The sequence below is a fragment of the Homo sapiens genome, chromosome 2, assembly GCF_000001405.40.
Source record: "Homo sapiens chromosome 2, GRCh38.p14 Primary Assembly".
Taxonomy (NCBI): Eukaryota; Metazoa; Chordata; class Mammalia; order Primates; family Hominidae; genus Homo; species Homo sapiens.
This window is the reverse complement of record NC_000002.12, coordinates 232,326,353-232,338,354: the sequence shown is the minus strand read 5'-3', so window position 1 is coordinate 232,338,354 and position 12,002 is coordinate 232,326,353. Positions and strand designations below refer to the sequence as shown.

The 12,002-nt window shown below is 62.2% G+C and overlaps 1 protein-coding gene across 4 annotated transcripts in view, besides 6 other annotated features; it reads right to left on the bottom strand.

Annotated features, from left to right (window-relative positions):
- Positions 1–12,002, bottom strand: part of DIS3L2 (DIS3 like 3'-5' exoribonuclease 2) — a 382,638-nt gene that overhangs the window by 5,996 nt on the left and 364,640 nt on the right. The window contains exons 15-21 of one of the 4 annotated variants that reach the window (NR_046476.2): positions 8,359–8,469; positions 7,579–7,665; positions 4,368–4,515; positions 3,856–3,986; positions 3,620–3,724; positions 2,481–2,582; positions 1,163–1,886 (exon numbers count right to left, since the gene is read on the bottom strand). The exons of 1 other annotated variant lie outside the window; for it this stretch is intronic. Coding sequence is in view for 1 of the 3 variants with exons in the window: in NM_152383.5 (NP_689596.4) it covers positions 1,725–1,886; positions 2,481–2,582; positions 3,620–3,724; positions 3,856–3,986; positions 4,368–4,515; positions 7,579–7,665; positions 8,359–8,542 (919 nt within the window). In the remaining 2 variants the exon portion in view is untranslated. Of the gene's footprint in view, positions 1–1,162; positions 2,583–3,619; positions 3,725–3,855; positions 3,987–4,367; positions 4,516–7,578; positions 7,666–8,358; positions 8,543–12,002 lie in introns of those variants that run through there. 2 more of the 4 variants (NM_152383.5, NR_046477.2) reach the window with 2 other exon arrangements.
- Positions 597–1,396: an enhancer, noted in NCBI's record as "H3K4me1 hESC enhancer chr2:233201669-233202468 (GRCh37/hg19 assembly coordinates)". NCBI's record gives its function as "activates a minimal SCP1, AML or CMV promoter by ChIP-STARR-seq in primed H9 embryonic stem cells {active_cell/tissue: H9 hESC(primed)}" and the evidence as "EXISTENCE:reporter gene assay evidence [ECO:0000049][PMID:30033119]".
- Positions 3,797–4,596: an enhancer, noted in NCBI's record as "H3K27ac-H3K4me1 hESC enhancer chr2:233198469-233199268 (GRCh37/hg19 assembly coordinates)". NCBI's record gives its function as "activates a minimal SCP1, AML or CMV promoter by ChIP-STARR-seq in primed H9 embryonic stem cells {active_cell/tissue: H9 hESC(primed)}" and the evidence as "EXISTENCE:reporter gene assay evidence [ECO:0000049][PMID:30033119]".
- Positions 4,597–5,396: an enhancer, noted in NCBI's record as "H3K27ac-H3K4me1 hESC enhancer chr2:233197669-233198468 (GRCh37/hg19 assembly coordinates)". NCBI's record gives its function as "activates a minimal SCP1, AML or CMV promoter by ChIP-STARR-seq in primed H9 embryonic stem cells {active_cell/tissue: H9 hESC(primed)}" and the evidence as "EXISTENCE:reporter gene assay evidence [ECO:0000049][PMID:30033119]".
- Positions 7,807–8,780: an enhancer, noted in NCBI's record as "H3K4me1 hESC enhancer chr2:233194285-233195258 (GRCh37/hg19 assembly coordinates)". NCBI's record gives its function as "activates a minimal SCP1, AML or CMV promoter by ChIP-STARR-seq in primed H9 embryonic stem cells {active_cell/tissue: H9 hESC(primed)}" and the evidence as "EXISTENCE:reporter gene assay evidence [ECO:0000049][PMID:30033119]".
- Positions 9,875–9,924: an enhancer, noted in NCBI's record as "active region_17321". NCBI's record gives its function as "activates an Ori minimal core promoter by ATAC-STARR-seq in GM12878 lymphoblastoid cells {active_cell/tissue: GM12878}" and the evidence as "EXISTENCE:reporter gene assay evidence [ECO:0000049][PMID:35858748]".
- Positions 9,995–10,264: an enhancer, noted in NCBI's record as "active region_17320". NCBI's record gives its function as "activates an Ori minimal core promoter by ATAC-STARR-seq in GM12878 lymphoblastoid cells {active_cell/tissue: GM12878}" and the evidence as "EXISTENCE:reporter gene assay evidence [ECO:0000049][PMID:35858748]".

Here is a 12,002-nt window from a genome sequence, read left to right as displayed (position 1 = left end):
CCTCACTGGGGCCTGGGGGCGCTGGGACATAGGGACAGGTGTCCGTCCGGGTCTGTGCTGCCTGTGAGGGAACAGCTCCCATGCTTCGTGGGAGGCCCTGGGGGACAGGGTCAGCCTGGCCCGAGAAGCCCAGAGAGGAACTTGGCCACTGCTCCTCAGAGGGTGGGCAGCATGGAGGGGAGGGGAAGGGCCCTGGTCCTTCCTGTTTGGGGCTCTCCTGTTTGGGGCTCTCACAGTCAGGCTGCCTGGGCTGGGGCAGCACCCCACAGCCTTCTCCACCCCAACACCAAACCCCCAGACGCTCGCCTGTCTGTCCCTGCAGATACTTGGCTCCAGGAGAAGGTTCTGGGGACAGGAACAGATGGGGTGACCGTGGCCTCTGGGACATCTCGGGGGTGGCAGGACACACAGACGGAAGGCCGCCTGAGGTGGCTGAGCCCTGGAGGAGGGAAAGGCTCCCAGGGCAGGTGCGGGATGTCTTTGGTTGCCTCCCATAGCCAGCCCCGTCTGACGGTGGCAGGACAAAGGCAGCAGTACCCAGTCACTGTCGCTGCGAGGCACTCTGACAAGGGACCCTATTGAGTGTTTCTTTGAAGAAAATTCACTGTAACCAGATCAAATGAGCTTGTTAATCCGGACACCCCAGGAAATGGTGCAGGGGAACAGAGGCCGTGCTCACCATGGCTTTCATCCTAGTTTCTGGCAGCTCTCGGGGACGCCAAGCCACGGAGCTTCCCCCACGGAGGGGGAAGGAGTACAGGCTGGGGTCAGGCTGGCTGGGGAAGGGACTGCCCAGTGGCCAGCCAGCTCTGCTCGGGACTGAGGCAGGTGGGATCCGTGTCACCCAGGCTGTGTCACCAGCAGCCAGTTTCCCCTCCTGGTTTGGAAGGCACTGGAGGGCCCTCCTCCCCTCCCCCAGGCCCAGGCCGGCTCCTCTGTCCAGGCTCCCTTGGTGCTGCCGGGGCACCCACTCACACCAGAGCTGGGCACAGGACCTCACAGAGTGCTGCTTGAGGAACTGAGGGGAGGGGGTATCACAGGACCCATGACTCCCACCAGGCCCTGCGGAGCTGGTGCAGAGAGGAAGTGGGGGCAGGGTTGGACACAGTCACATTCGTCAGACACAGTCACATTCGTCAGGGTGATGGGGGCGCTCTCAGTGTTGCATACTAATTCCATTTTTAATCAGGCAGAATGAGACTCCAGTATCAATCATCTGCCAGGCAGCCAGCTCTGAATCGTGTTGGAACTGACAGGAAAGTTCCAGGTGTTGACATCGGCTCAGCAGCGAGGGGTGAAGCCTGAACTGGGTCCCTTGCCCTGGGTGCAAGGGGCATTCTGCTGCCCAGGCTTCCCAGAGGCGCCCTACACACCAGATGGCACTCCACACTTGATTTTATTCTGTGACACTGAGTTGCTGAAACCCCCCCATTTCCTGGGCAGAGGAGGGCAGTAGGGCCCAGAAAAAAGGGGGGCCAGCCTCCCAGGAGGACTGGGGCCTGCTCTGCTGGGGTCACTGCTGACCAGGCCTCAGCCTTCCTTCCAGCCCCACCCTCTCCCCTGCAGTTTGTTTAAAAGTTGAGCTGCAAAAATTAAATAAAAATAAAAACAAACCCCTGAGTTGTTAAAAACCAAATTAAAAACCCCCCTCCGTGTCAACAGGTCCTAAAGCCAGTGTGGCGGGACAGGCAGGCGGGGCAGGCGGGGCAGGCGGCTGGTGGAGCTCAGCTGGTGCTTGAGTCCTCGGGCTCACCGTCAGACTCCTCCTCCTCCTTCTCAGGGCCCAGGTGGCCCTGGGTGCCTGGCCGCTTCAGGATGGCGCTGTACTTGAGGGCTGTGGACTCTGCCTGCAGGACCACCTCCACCAGGCTGAAGATGGTGATGACCTGTGCAGAGCCCAGCCGTGAGGGGACAAGGATGGCAGGGCCTGATGTCGAGGCGCAGCTCTGCCTCCATCCCTGCAGCAGGACCCCTGGCCCCTCCTTCGGCCTCTGGAAGCCTCTGCTCGCCTGTCTGTAATGGGGGCCCCCTCCAGGAAGAATGCCCTGGGTCAGGGCAGAGTTGGGGAGTCAGATGCATCCTGAGCGCTCCCAAGGCTTATGAAACACAACCTGAGGGCCTGGGTCCGCGTTCAGGGCACACTGTTGGTGAAAACGGTTCCAGACAATTTCTTGGGTGTAAACTCATAGCTTTCATCAGGTTCTCTAAAGGACCCTAGAAGGCCAGCACCCCTGCATTAGCGGGACAGGCAGAGCCCCTCCTCTCTCCACTGTGGTTGCCCCCAAGGAAGGGAAGGTGGTGCCAGAAAGCAGGACCCACAGGAGGGGGTCTGGGTGAGCTGGGAGGGCCCTAAAACCCCACCCGGGAGGCTGCAGTGCTGGGGGAGCCCAGGGGACACAGATGAAGGAATGAGGGGCACCGCAGGAGGCAGGAGAGGGGTCATCAGGACTTAGGGGGCTGGGACACAGAGGGGTTCTGACCTGCTGTGCTGGCTCCTGCTCCATGTCCTCAGGCTCCCAGACCAGCGTGAGTTCCGGCTTCTTGCCCACCTTCTGGAAGTGGTGGGACCGCAGGGCCAGTGCCTGGAGTGCAAACACCAAGCCTCAGGCCTCAGCTCTGGATGCTGCTGCCTGCCCTTCCACCCTGGAGGGCTTCAATGCTTGGAGGCGGCCCTCAGCCCTCGGCCCTGGCCCACCCTTGCCTGGCTGGAGGGAGCTTCAGGGAGGCCCTGCCAGGCCACCTTCAGCTGAGGCAGCAGGTGAGAGTGACCAAGGGCCAGGGGTGGGGGCTGGGAAGGCCCGTGGCTCTGTGTGCTATGGGGGGCAAGTGGTGGGGGGTCCAGGGCTGACTGCACTGAGGTGGGGACAGAGAACTGTGGCGGCGGAGCGCTGCGCCCCCTGCTGGTGCCATCTGTCAGTGCAGGCAGGGCTGGGCCCACAGCAGGGTGAGCTAGGCTTGAACTTCAGGATACAGAGCCCCCAGGGTCCGCAGGGGGACTCTGTCGTTCCTCTTCTGCCCAGCTCCCGGTTATGAACACCACGTTTACTGCACACAACGGGCTGGACACTGTACTCCCAGGGCACTCTGGATGTTAGGAAATTCAAAGCCAGGCACAGAGGCAGGTGGTGACCTGCAGACCCCAGGGCCAGCTGGAGCCAAGCCCCTAAGGCAGCATTAGGACAGGCCCATGTCCCCTTGGAGAGAGAACTGTGAGTCAACAGTCACTCAGGGCAGGAGCCGAGCCAGGGACAGCTCTCTTCCTTGTCTTCAGGGGACACAGTTTCCAAAGCGGCCACGGACCATTCGCTGGCCTTTCATTCCTTCACGTTCCTATAAACACAGTCCCCAAAGCCTGCACACCCTGCCGAGCTGTACTGGCCATGGAGGGGCCTGCTCTCTGGTTCCTGGGTCCTTGGGGAAGGGGGCCAGGCCTGACCCTGGGCCTGGAGCCACCATCCCAGGTGGGAGAGCTGGGCGTCTCAGCAAGGCCCATCAGGTGGGCTTTGTGCTAGGGCTGGGGGAGCGAGGGGTGGAGTGTGACCCATCACAGCCTGTGCCCCTCCAGTGCGGGATGGCTTGGGCTGCCCTGCCCGCCCCCGGGCTCTCCCAGGGCACTCACGTTGCAGTAGATGCGCTTCTGCACGCCGTAGCGCAGCACCAGCACGTCGAAGGCTTGCTTCAGGATGCCCATCACCATGGCTTCTGACTCCAGGGGGCCACTCTCCTGCAGGGACAGTGCTGCAGCCATGGCACCTCCTGGCACTGCCCTGGGCTCCTCGAGGCCTCCTGGTGAGCAGGTGCCCAGGAGGGTCGGGAGCCAGAGGGAGGTGAGGGGCACCAGGCTGGAGGGCTCACCTTGACCAGAACAGCAAAGAAGAGACTGGTACTGAGCTCCTGCACGCGCTTGGACGCCATGCGGCGGTCGTTACAGTGGTCCGCCTGTTTCTGCAGGGTATCGGGCGCCATGTCTAGTCGCTCCCTATAGCCTGGGAAGAGGGGGTGAGGCATGAGAGTGGGAGCCTGGGGGGCTGGGAAGAGCTATGGCTGGGGGATGGGCTGCATGGCGCTGCACCCCCGCCGACAGATTAGGACCCCAAGCACCCAGCTCCCAGGGCAGCAGAAAGCGGCCCTTCGAGGTCAGCGCCCTCCTCCCGGCTGTGTCCAGGGCTGGCTGTGGGCTCCATGCAGCTTCTGCAGCACCGGCCCGTAGGGAGAGTTTCCAGGCCAGGCTCCCCTGCACTTGGGTCGCCCGACCCTTGGACCTCCGCTGTCACGGCAGAATGGTCTTGGGCCACTGAGCACCCACTGTGGGGGTGGGCAGCCCTGAGCTGGCCCAGGTCTGCCCTGACCCCGACTGCACCCCTCACCTAACGCGGCAGCCAGGAGGCGGTGCACCAGGACGTCGGCAAAGCGGCGGATGGGCGAGGTGAAGTGTGTGTACAGGGGCACATTGAGCGCGTAGTGCCGGAACTGCGCTGGGTCCTGCAGCAGCCCCGAGCAGAAGTACAGTGCCATCTGCGGGACGGGATGGGTCAGAGCCTGACAAGCCCAGAGCTGCCCAGCCAGGCCTGGAAGGCTGGCACCACCCACAGCCTCACCGTCGGCAGCGATGTGTGGACAGACCTAATGGGCTGCTGGTTGCTGAGTGACGCCAGGGAGGACTGGGGCCAGGGCCCTTGCTGCACAAGGGGCCCCAGGGGGAGGCCAGGAGGCTGGGCAGAGCCCAGGGGTACCCATGTCCTTTCCAGGAGACAAATCTGGCCTGCCTGGGCCTCCCAGATGCCCTCAAGGTGGCAGCACTGAGAATGGCCTGGACAAGCCCACCCTGCTGAGGACCAGGGAGCCAGGAACCCCCAGGATGCTGTCAGGGTAGGGGGCACGAGCTGAGCCTCCGAAGTCCAGTCCCTGCTGAGTCACTGCTGAGCACCACCAGGAGGGAAGAGTCTCTGGCCTACCCTTCCCCAGCATGGGGCCGGGGCTGCTACTCTCGCCCAGGAAGAAGGAAGAAGAAAGAAAGGTAGCGGCGGGGGGTGGGGGAGGAGGAGGAGGAGGTGGCGATGGCAGAGGTGGAGGCAGAGGAGGAGGAGGAGGCGACAGCGGAGGAGGAGGAGGAGGAGGAGGAGGAGGCGACAGCGGAGGAGGAGGAGGAGGAGGAGGAGGAGGAGGAGGAGGAGGAGGCGACAGCGGAGGAGGAGAAGGAGGAGGTGGTGGAAGGAGGAGGTGGTGGTGGTCGAGGAGGACAATGAGGAGGAGGAAGAGGAGGAGGCCGCCTGCGGTTTTGTTGGACCAGGGGCTGCAGACGCTGTCTGCTGGAGACACAAGCAGAAGCCAAGGAGCCTGTGGGTCTTTGTTCAAGGAGGCAACGTCCATCCTCCCATCTGGCCAGAGTGGGAGGAGGGAGAGAAAGCCCAGGATGCGATCCCCTGCCCTGTGCAATACGGGCCTCAGGCTCTTGGAGCTTCCTCTCCAGCCTAGGCCCACCTTTGGTCGGGGCCGTCCTCATCCCCTCTGGCACTGATCCCGCCCAGCTGAAGCCACGCTTCACCCGGGCACCTCTGTGCTCGCCAATACTCCACCCCACAGCAGTCAAGGGAGGCAGTTTCCGGCCTGCCAGCCTCGGCCCTTCTCGTCTCTGACACCTGACCCTCCCGGGGGCTGAGACACAGAGGGCTGAGTTCCAAAGGCCCTTGTGCTGGGCAGGAGGCAGGACTGGGGCAGGGGGAGATACCGAGAGTCTCTAGGGACCAGCGCATAGCCCGTCCCAGCTGGGGCCACAGCCCCTGAAGCTGTTTGTCCTGCAGTCCCCGAGCTTTCAGGGCTGGGTGTCAGGGCCAGTGCTACTGCCTGGGAGCGAGTGAACGGGTTCCTCGCAGAGGTCCAAGGTCACGCCTGTATGTCTCTCTGGCTCCCTTGCTCCCTGGCTGCTGTACACACTCACCCTCCTGTGCCCTTGGCCAGACAGACAGCCGGCTCCCGTTACTCTGTGCACACGGGCCCTGGAATCCAGGGCGCAGCTGATGGTGACCTGCTCCGCTCCCTAACTCCACTTCCCTTCCAGCCCCTGCTGGGCCCTGGGTTAAGTCGGGGGCAAGTCTCTGGGGGAGGTGGGCACAGCCTCCACTCCCAGACATGTCTGGGCTTTGTTCTCAGTGGTGGCCCAGTTCCCCAGATGACCTGGGTGAGGTTGATGAAGGGCCCTGGCCCCTCTTGGCTGGTGGAGGTGGCTCAGGGTCGGGTGGGATGGGTGGGGACCATGGCTTTCCCACAGGCCCAGCCATCCCTGGGACAGCCCTCGGACAGCCCTGGTGTCCTGATGCAGATGCTCACTGGGGACTGTGTGCCCCCTCACACCTTTCTGTGCTCTCTGCTGCTGCCCTGCCCTGTCCCCACCCCAGTTCCCGGGGCTGAGGAACAGGAGCACCGCAGACCTGGTAACTCTCTGCCATCGGATTCCCGGGCAAGGGCACCTCTGAGCTCCCTGGGAGGCGAGCCAGGAGAATGCAGGCTTTTCGGGCTCTGGCTAACTCCGGAGCGGCTCCGATCTCTGGAGCTCCAGCTTGGCTTGTACCTCCTTGGAGGTGATGGCGTCAGAGGCAGGGACATGGGAGGGGCCCCAGCAGGGCAGAGCCAGAGGCAGTTCTGGGACTCAGGGGCTGCTGTGCCTTCTCTGCCAGGCCTAGAGCCGCTGCAGTGTAGAACAGAGAGAGCCCAGTGGGCACGGCCCAGCCCCTCTCCGCTGTGGGTGCCACAGGTGCTTGGCTGGGCAGACACTTGTGACTGGGGGCAGGTCACGGTGACCAGGCCCAAGCAGGCCCTGATGGCTTCAAACCCAGCAGAGCTTGAAGTGTCAGAAAATAAATCCACTGAGGTCAGCTGAAGCCATCAGTTCTTGTGAACAGATTGAATCTGCCGAGTGACCGAGCCCCTAAAATACAGCCTGTCTCTGCCCCTGGGCCGGGGTGGGACCCAGAGCCGACCCATCAGCATCCACTGCTCCCGCTGACCCGAGGGTCCTCTGGGGTCCTGGTCCCAGGATGCTCGGGCCCTGCATGGGGGAAGCTCAGCCTGGGGCGCTGTGACAGGCATCCCAGAGCAAGCCCAGCTGTCCACCCCACAGGCTGCCACCTCCCTGCAGGCCCAGGCCTAGGCCCCCGGCCAAGTCCGCTTCTTTCCCACACTGGCCAGAGGCTGACAGCTAGTTCTGGACTCCACATGTGGGGATGGAGGCTGCGGAGTGTTCCCTGGGACAGGAAACCACATGGGACCCTGTCTCTCCTCCAGGACCCCAGCCTGACAGGAGGTCTCAGTAGCCCCTCAGCTCCAGGGCACTCTGTCCTTGAGCGAGTGTGAGCAGGAGACAGCGGCTCAAACTCAAGAGGCTCAGGGTGCCCCCTCCTAGGTGCTGCCTGGGGTCGGCCTCCTCTCCCACCCTCTGGCAGAGGAGGAGCAGCCCCCGTCCACCCAGCCATGTCCAGAGCAGGCAGGAACGGTGGGGGCCTGTGCTTGCACGTGGAGGTCACAGGTCTGGGGCTAGTGTGCTCCTGGGAGCAGGGGAGGCCGGGGCTGGGCCCTCCTTACCTGCATGGGCCGGGAGCACATGTTGGTGAGCACCTCCTTGCGGGCCAGTGAGTACTTGTCATCTCCAAATGTTTGGGTCAGGCTTTTCTAGAAGCAAATCCCAGAAACCTATGTGACGTGTGGTCCAGCTCGGGCAGAGACTCTGGGCCCTGTCATCCGCTGAGCACCTCATGCCCGGCTCTGGGGGGAGGAGTTGCCTGTGGGGCTCAGCCCTGCTCAGAGGGGATGGGTGGGGAGAGGGGGCAGCCGCCCACACCCTGTGGCCCACACTTCCATGTTTTTGCTGGCTGGCCTGGACTCACTGGGCTCCAGCTCTCTGGCCTGGGGCACCTGCCTTCCCCTCCCAGGGTTGGGCCTGGGTGAGATGTCTCCCTCCTCCAGGACCACAGCCAAGGCCCTGGGTTTCTTAGCTTTGCCCCAGGCAGGGAGCACCTGAAAGTACCCACCAGGAACATTCCCGGGATTCCTACAATTCCAGCCCCGACTCTGAAAGCCTCTGGGCCCAAGACCAGCCCTTTCTGGCCACAGGACCCCTGCCCTCTGCTAGGCCTCCAGGGTCCCCCCGCTTGGCACAGTCCTGGTGAAGGGGCAGGTCCCACTGTCAGGGCCCCTGTGACTCAGAGGGGCCCTTTCTCCCAGGGCCTCCTTCCCTACAGGAGAGACCTGGCTGAAGGGGAGGGACTCTGGGGGGAAGCAGAGGCCGCTGGACCACCCCACCTTCCAGGTCTTTCTCTTCTTTCCCCCAAGCAGGGCCTCCCCCGAATCCTGCCCACCACTCACATTGAGGGCTCCTGCGGAGCTGAAGTCCACGGGCAGCCCCATCTGGTCGCAGAATTCCACCAGGTCACTGAGCATCCTTGTTTGGGGCGGGGGGTGCCGGCGCAGCAGGGCCTGCTCGGGGAAGGCGCGGTGGATCTTGTGGGCCACTGCCATGTTGGCCAAGAGCATGAACTCCTCCACGAGCCTGCAGAGGGTGGGTGGGATGGGAGGGACCGCTGGGGTTTGGGGACAGGTGCGCAGGCTTTCCCACGCTGCAGCCGGCCTGGCTCTCTATCAATCACCCTTCAGGTCTCAGCTTAAAGACAACCTCCCAGCTACCTCATCTCATGTGTTCCGCCAAGTCCCTGTCTTGCCCAGCACCCCCATGGTCTCCCTGCACCAGTTGGTCTACACCGCCTTCTCCTCTGACTGGTTAGCTCCTGTGCTGGCTCTCCCAGAGGGGGACCCTGGAGAGCAGGGAAGCACCCATCTATTAAATAATTCACTGCAGCAGCCCCAGAGCTCAGCAGCCCACCCAATCCAGAGAAGGCACCGAGGAAAGATCTCTGCTGAATGACAGGATGCCTGGAACACTCGGGCAGCCCAGGCTGTAAGAGGGCACCATGCTCGCCCAGGGCATGGGAACCCTGGGGCCCCAGCTCAGCCCCTGCTCTGAGGGCTCCCTGAGGCATGTGGCAGTGGTGAGTGGACCAAGGACCCCACAGTCCCAGGAGTGCTGGGCTCCCTTCTCCTCTGGGGACGGTGCCTTGTTGGAGGGAAGCCTCCCAACAGGGTCTCTGAGGGTAGACAGGACAGTCTGAGGCAGCAGGAGGGAAGCCCTCACCAGAGGACAGGGCAGGAGTGGGGATGGGGTGAGACCCCAGAGTCACCCTTTCAGGGGCTGCTGCTCTGGCTTTGCAGCACTTGGGTGTCTGTCATTAGACTCAACAGTCACTGTGAATGGATGTGGCTCCCCACAGAAGGACTGAGCAGGCCAAGGTCCCAGACTGAAGGAGCGGGGACCGATAGGCGATGTGGGACATGAACCAGGCAAAGGCTGGGGGGCTGGTATCACACAGCACTGAGGTCAGCACCACTGACCCTACCACCAAATCTGGGGCAGGAGGCCACGCACTTCTTTTTCCCGCCTTTGGTGGGACAAGAAGATCACACATGTGCACAAGAGCTGGAGCCTGTTGTGATGGGCCAGCCTTGGGCATGTCCTCATGCCTTGGTGACCAGGACCCTCTTCATGGGGAAAGCCGCCCCCTCAGGGAGACATGGGGCTATCGGGGCCTTGACCAGCCTGGGGGGACTCTGCCTTCCCTGCCTTTCCCCAGCCTTCATGCCCAGCCCTGAGCTTTCCCCTTGAGTGAGAGAGATCAGGGAGGAAGCTCCCGCAGGCCTGGCTGCAGCCAGAACCCTGCCATCAACTTCCCTTCCTGGAGGTGTGAGTAGTGCTGCGGGTGAGCCTCGTCATCTGGCCATGCTCGTGGAAAGAAAGCCAGCCACCGAGAGAGAGAGCCCTGGCATATAGAGCCCCTCCTCCACCCAGGGTGGGCCTGCCAGGGCAGACGTGTGGCTGTGCTCTGCCAGGATGTCCTGAGAGCATATCTGCCTCCCCAGGGAGCCTGAGATGCAGAGGAAGAAGGGCTGGGAAATGCCCCAGGAGGGCAGGCACCACCTGGAGAGGAGGGAAGCCAGCCCAGCACCCCTAGCGCCTCCCCTGGGGACTAGTGGGGACTTTTTTGGGCTGGCTCATGGCACACAGTAAGGCAGGTGACAGCTGGGATGTGTGACCACAAGGATCAAGCTTCAGCCTGCCCTTCTACCACACAGGACACCCAGCAGGTAAAAGGAGGAGCATCCATGTTGCCCTCTGGGTGGCAGTAACGGCCTGTGATGTGCCACCCCACCTCCCAGCCCTAATCTGTGCTTGTGCCCACCACTTCCTGCCAAAAACCCTGTGTTCAAGCCCTTAACCCACTACAAGTCTCCCAAGCCCAGGTTTGACTCTCAGCTCCACAACTTTCTTGCCGTGGGATTCTGAACAAATCACAGAGCCCTCCCCATCCTCTGTCTCAAATGCAGGACAGGGGTCACAATGGCACCTGCTCAGGGCTGTCATGGACGCAGAGAAAACAGGTTCTGCACTGGCAGGCCCTCTGCCTGATGCATTGAAAGCCCTCAGGACGCAGGCACTGTTCTCCTGTTGCCCCACCTGCCCCCCACATGGCCAGCTGGGGGTCTCCTCAATATGCCCTGTGATTTTCATCCCTGCCATCAATCTGTGTTCCTCAATTCTTTTGAAGCCTCCCTGAAAAGCAGGCTGCAGTCCCCCACATGAACACTGACTGTTCTAGGCTCACCTGTATCACTGTCTGGTGCCATTAGACTGTTCTTATTCGGATTTCATAATAAGATATTGTGAACCCAAGAGGAATCAAAATTCCTGCTTGAAAAATAATCTGATACTGGTCAGGCCATCAGCACGGAAATACTTCAGATGCACACAATCATGCGTACTTTTGCCCTCTCACTCCATAAAAACTACTATGTGCCAGGCACGGTTCTGGACTTTTCTCCCCATGCAGTCGGACAATCCTCCTGGGCAGGAGCATCCAGGCAATTCTGTGGTGCCTGCTTTCCCCTCCAGCCCAGCTGCAGGCTTGCCGGAAGAGGGACAAGTGTAGCCTTAGGCCCGACCCTGGGCTGCATTTTGCAGTGTGGCCAGCAGGAGGCAGCATGACCCCATAGCGGGCAGCACTGAGGCTGCAGGCTAAGGAGGCCACCAGGCGGGCAGGGTGAAAGAGCAGGGCTGTGTGAGGTGGCCCCTGGTTACTCCTCTGTGCCCATGCCCCACCCTCTATGGGTTTAGGAATTGAATATCTGGGGGCCTCTCAGGGCTGAGCCAGGCTCCTGCTCTCAGTTCCTGCAGGCGCTCTCCACATCCCTTCTCATGGTTTTCAGTAAACACGAGGACAAGGACAGGAGGGAGGGGACAGGGAGAGGGTGGGGCCGCTGTGGAAGCCCCTGCCAAGACCACAGACCTCAGGCAAGCTGCTTCCCTGGCAACTCCGCTACCTGCTCTCCCTGGACCCCCAGCACAGTCCCAGGAGTCACCTCTGCCCTCGACAGTGAACAAGTGCACTCTTGGTGACCTTGAACGTGAAGCCTGGTGAGGCTATGGAGGAGAGGCCCACCTTGCCAGGGCCCTTGGTGTGGCTGAGTCTCTGCTTCCCTTGCCGTCTCAGCCTCTCCCTCCCTCCTGGGGCTGGGAGTCAGGACAGCACCTGTGGAGCTCTGGCCCAACTAGTTAGGCCACATTAAGCAGGGACCCAGACAAAGGTCAAGGGCACTGAGGAGGGAGCTAGCACCACAGAAAGTCCACTTCCCAGGTGCAGCCTTGGCCATGATGTTTGAGGACAGCTGCAGGGGCTGTTTGGTGCCCTCATGTCCTTCTGATGCTGCAAGTAGCAGATGGGGGCAGAGTGAACAGGTAGGCTATGAGTAGGAGTGAATGAAGGTGGGGCTGACCCCTGGCTCTGGCGGTGGCACCCTGGGGTGGCTGGAAGGTGGGTCCCCAGTGGAGTTTGGGGACAGAAAGGTGCAGGCCAAGCCCAGCTGCCAGCAGCCAGAGTTGCACCGAGTTCAGTATTCGCCAT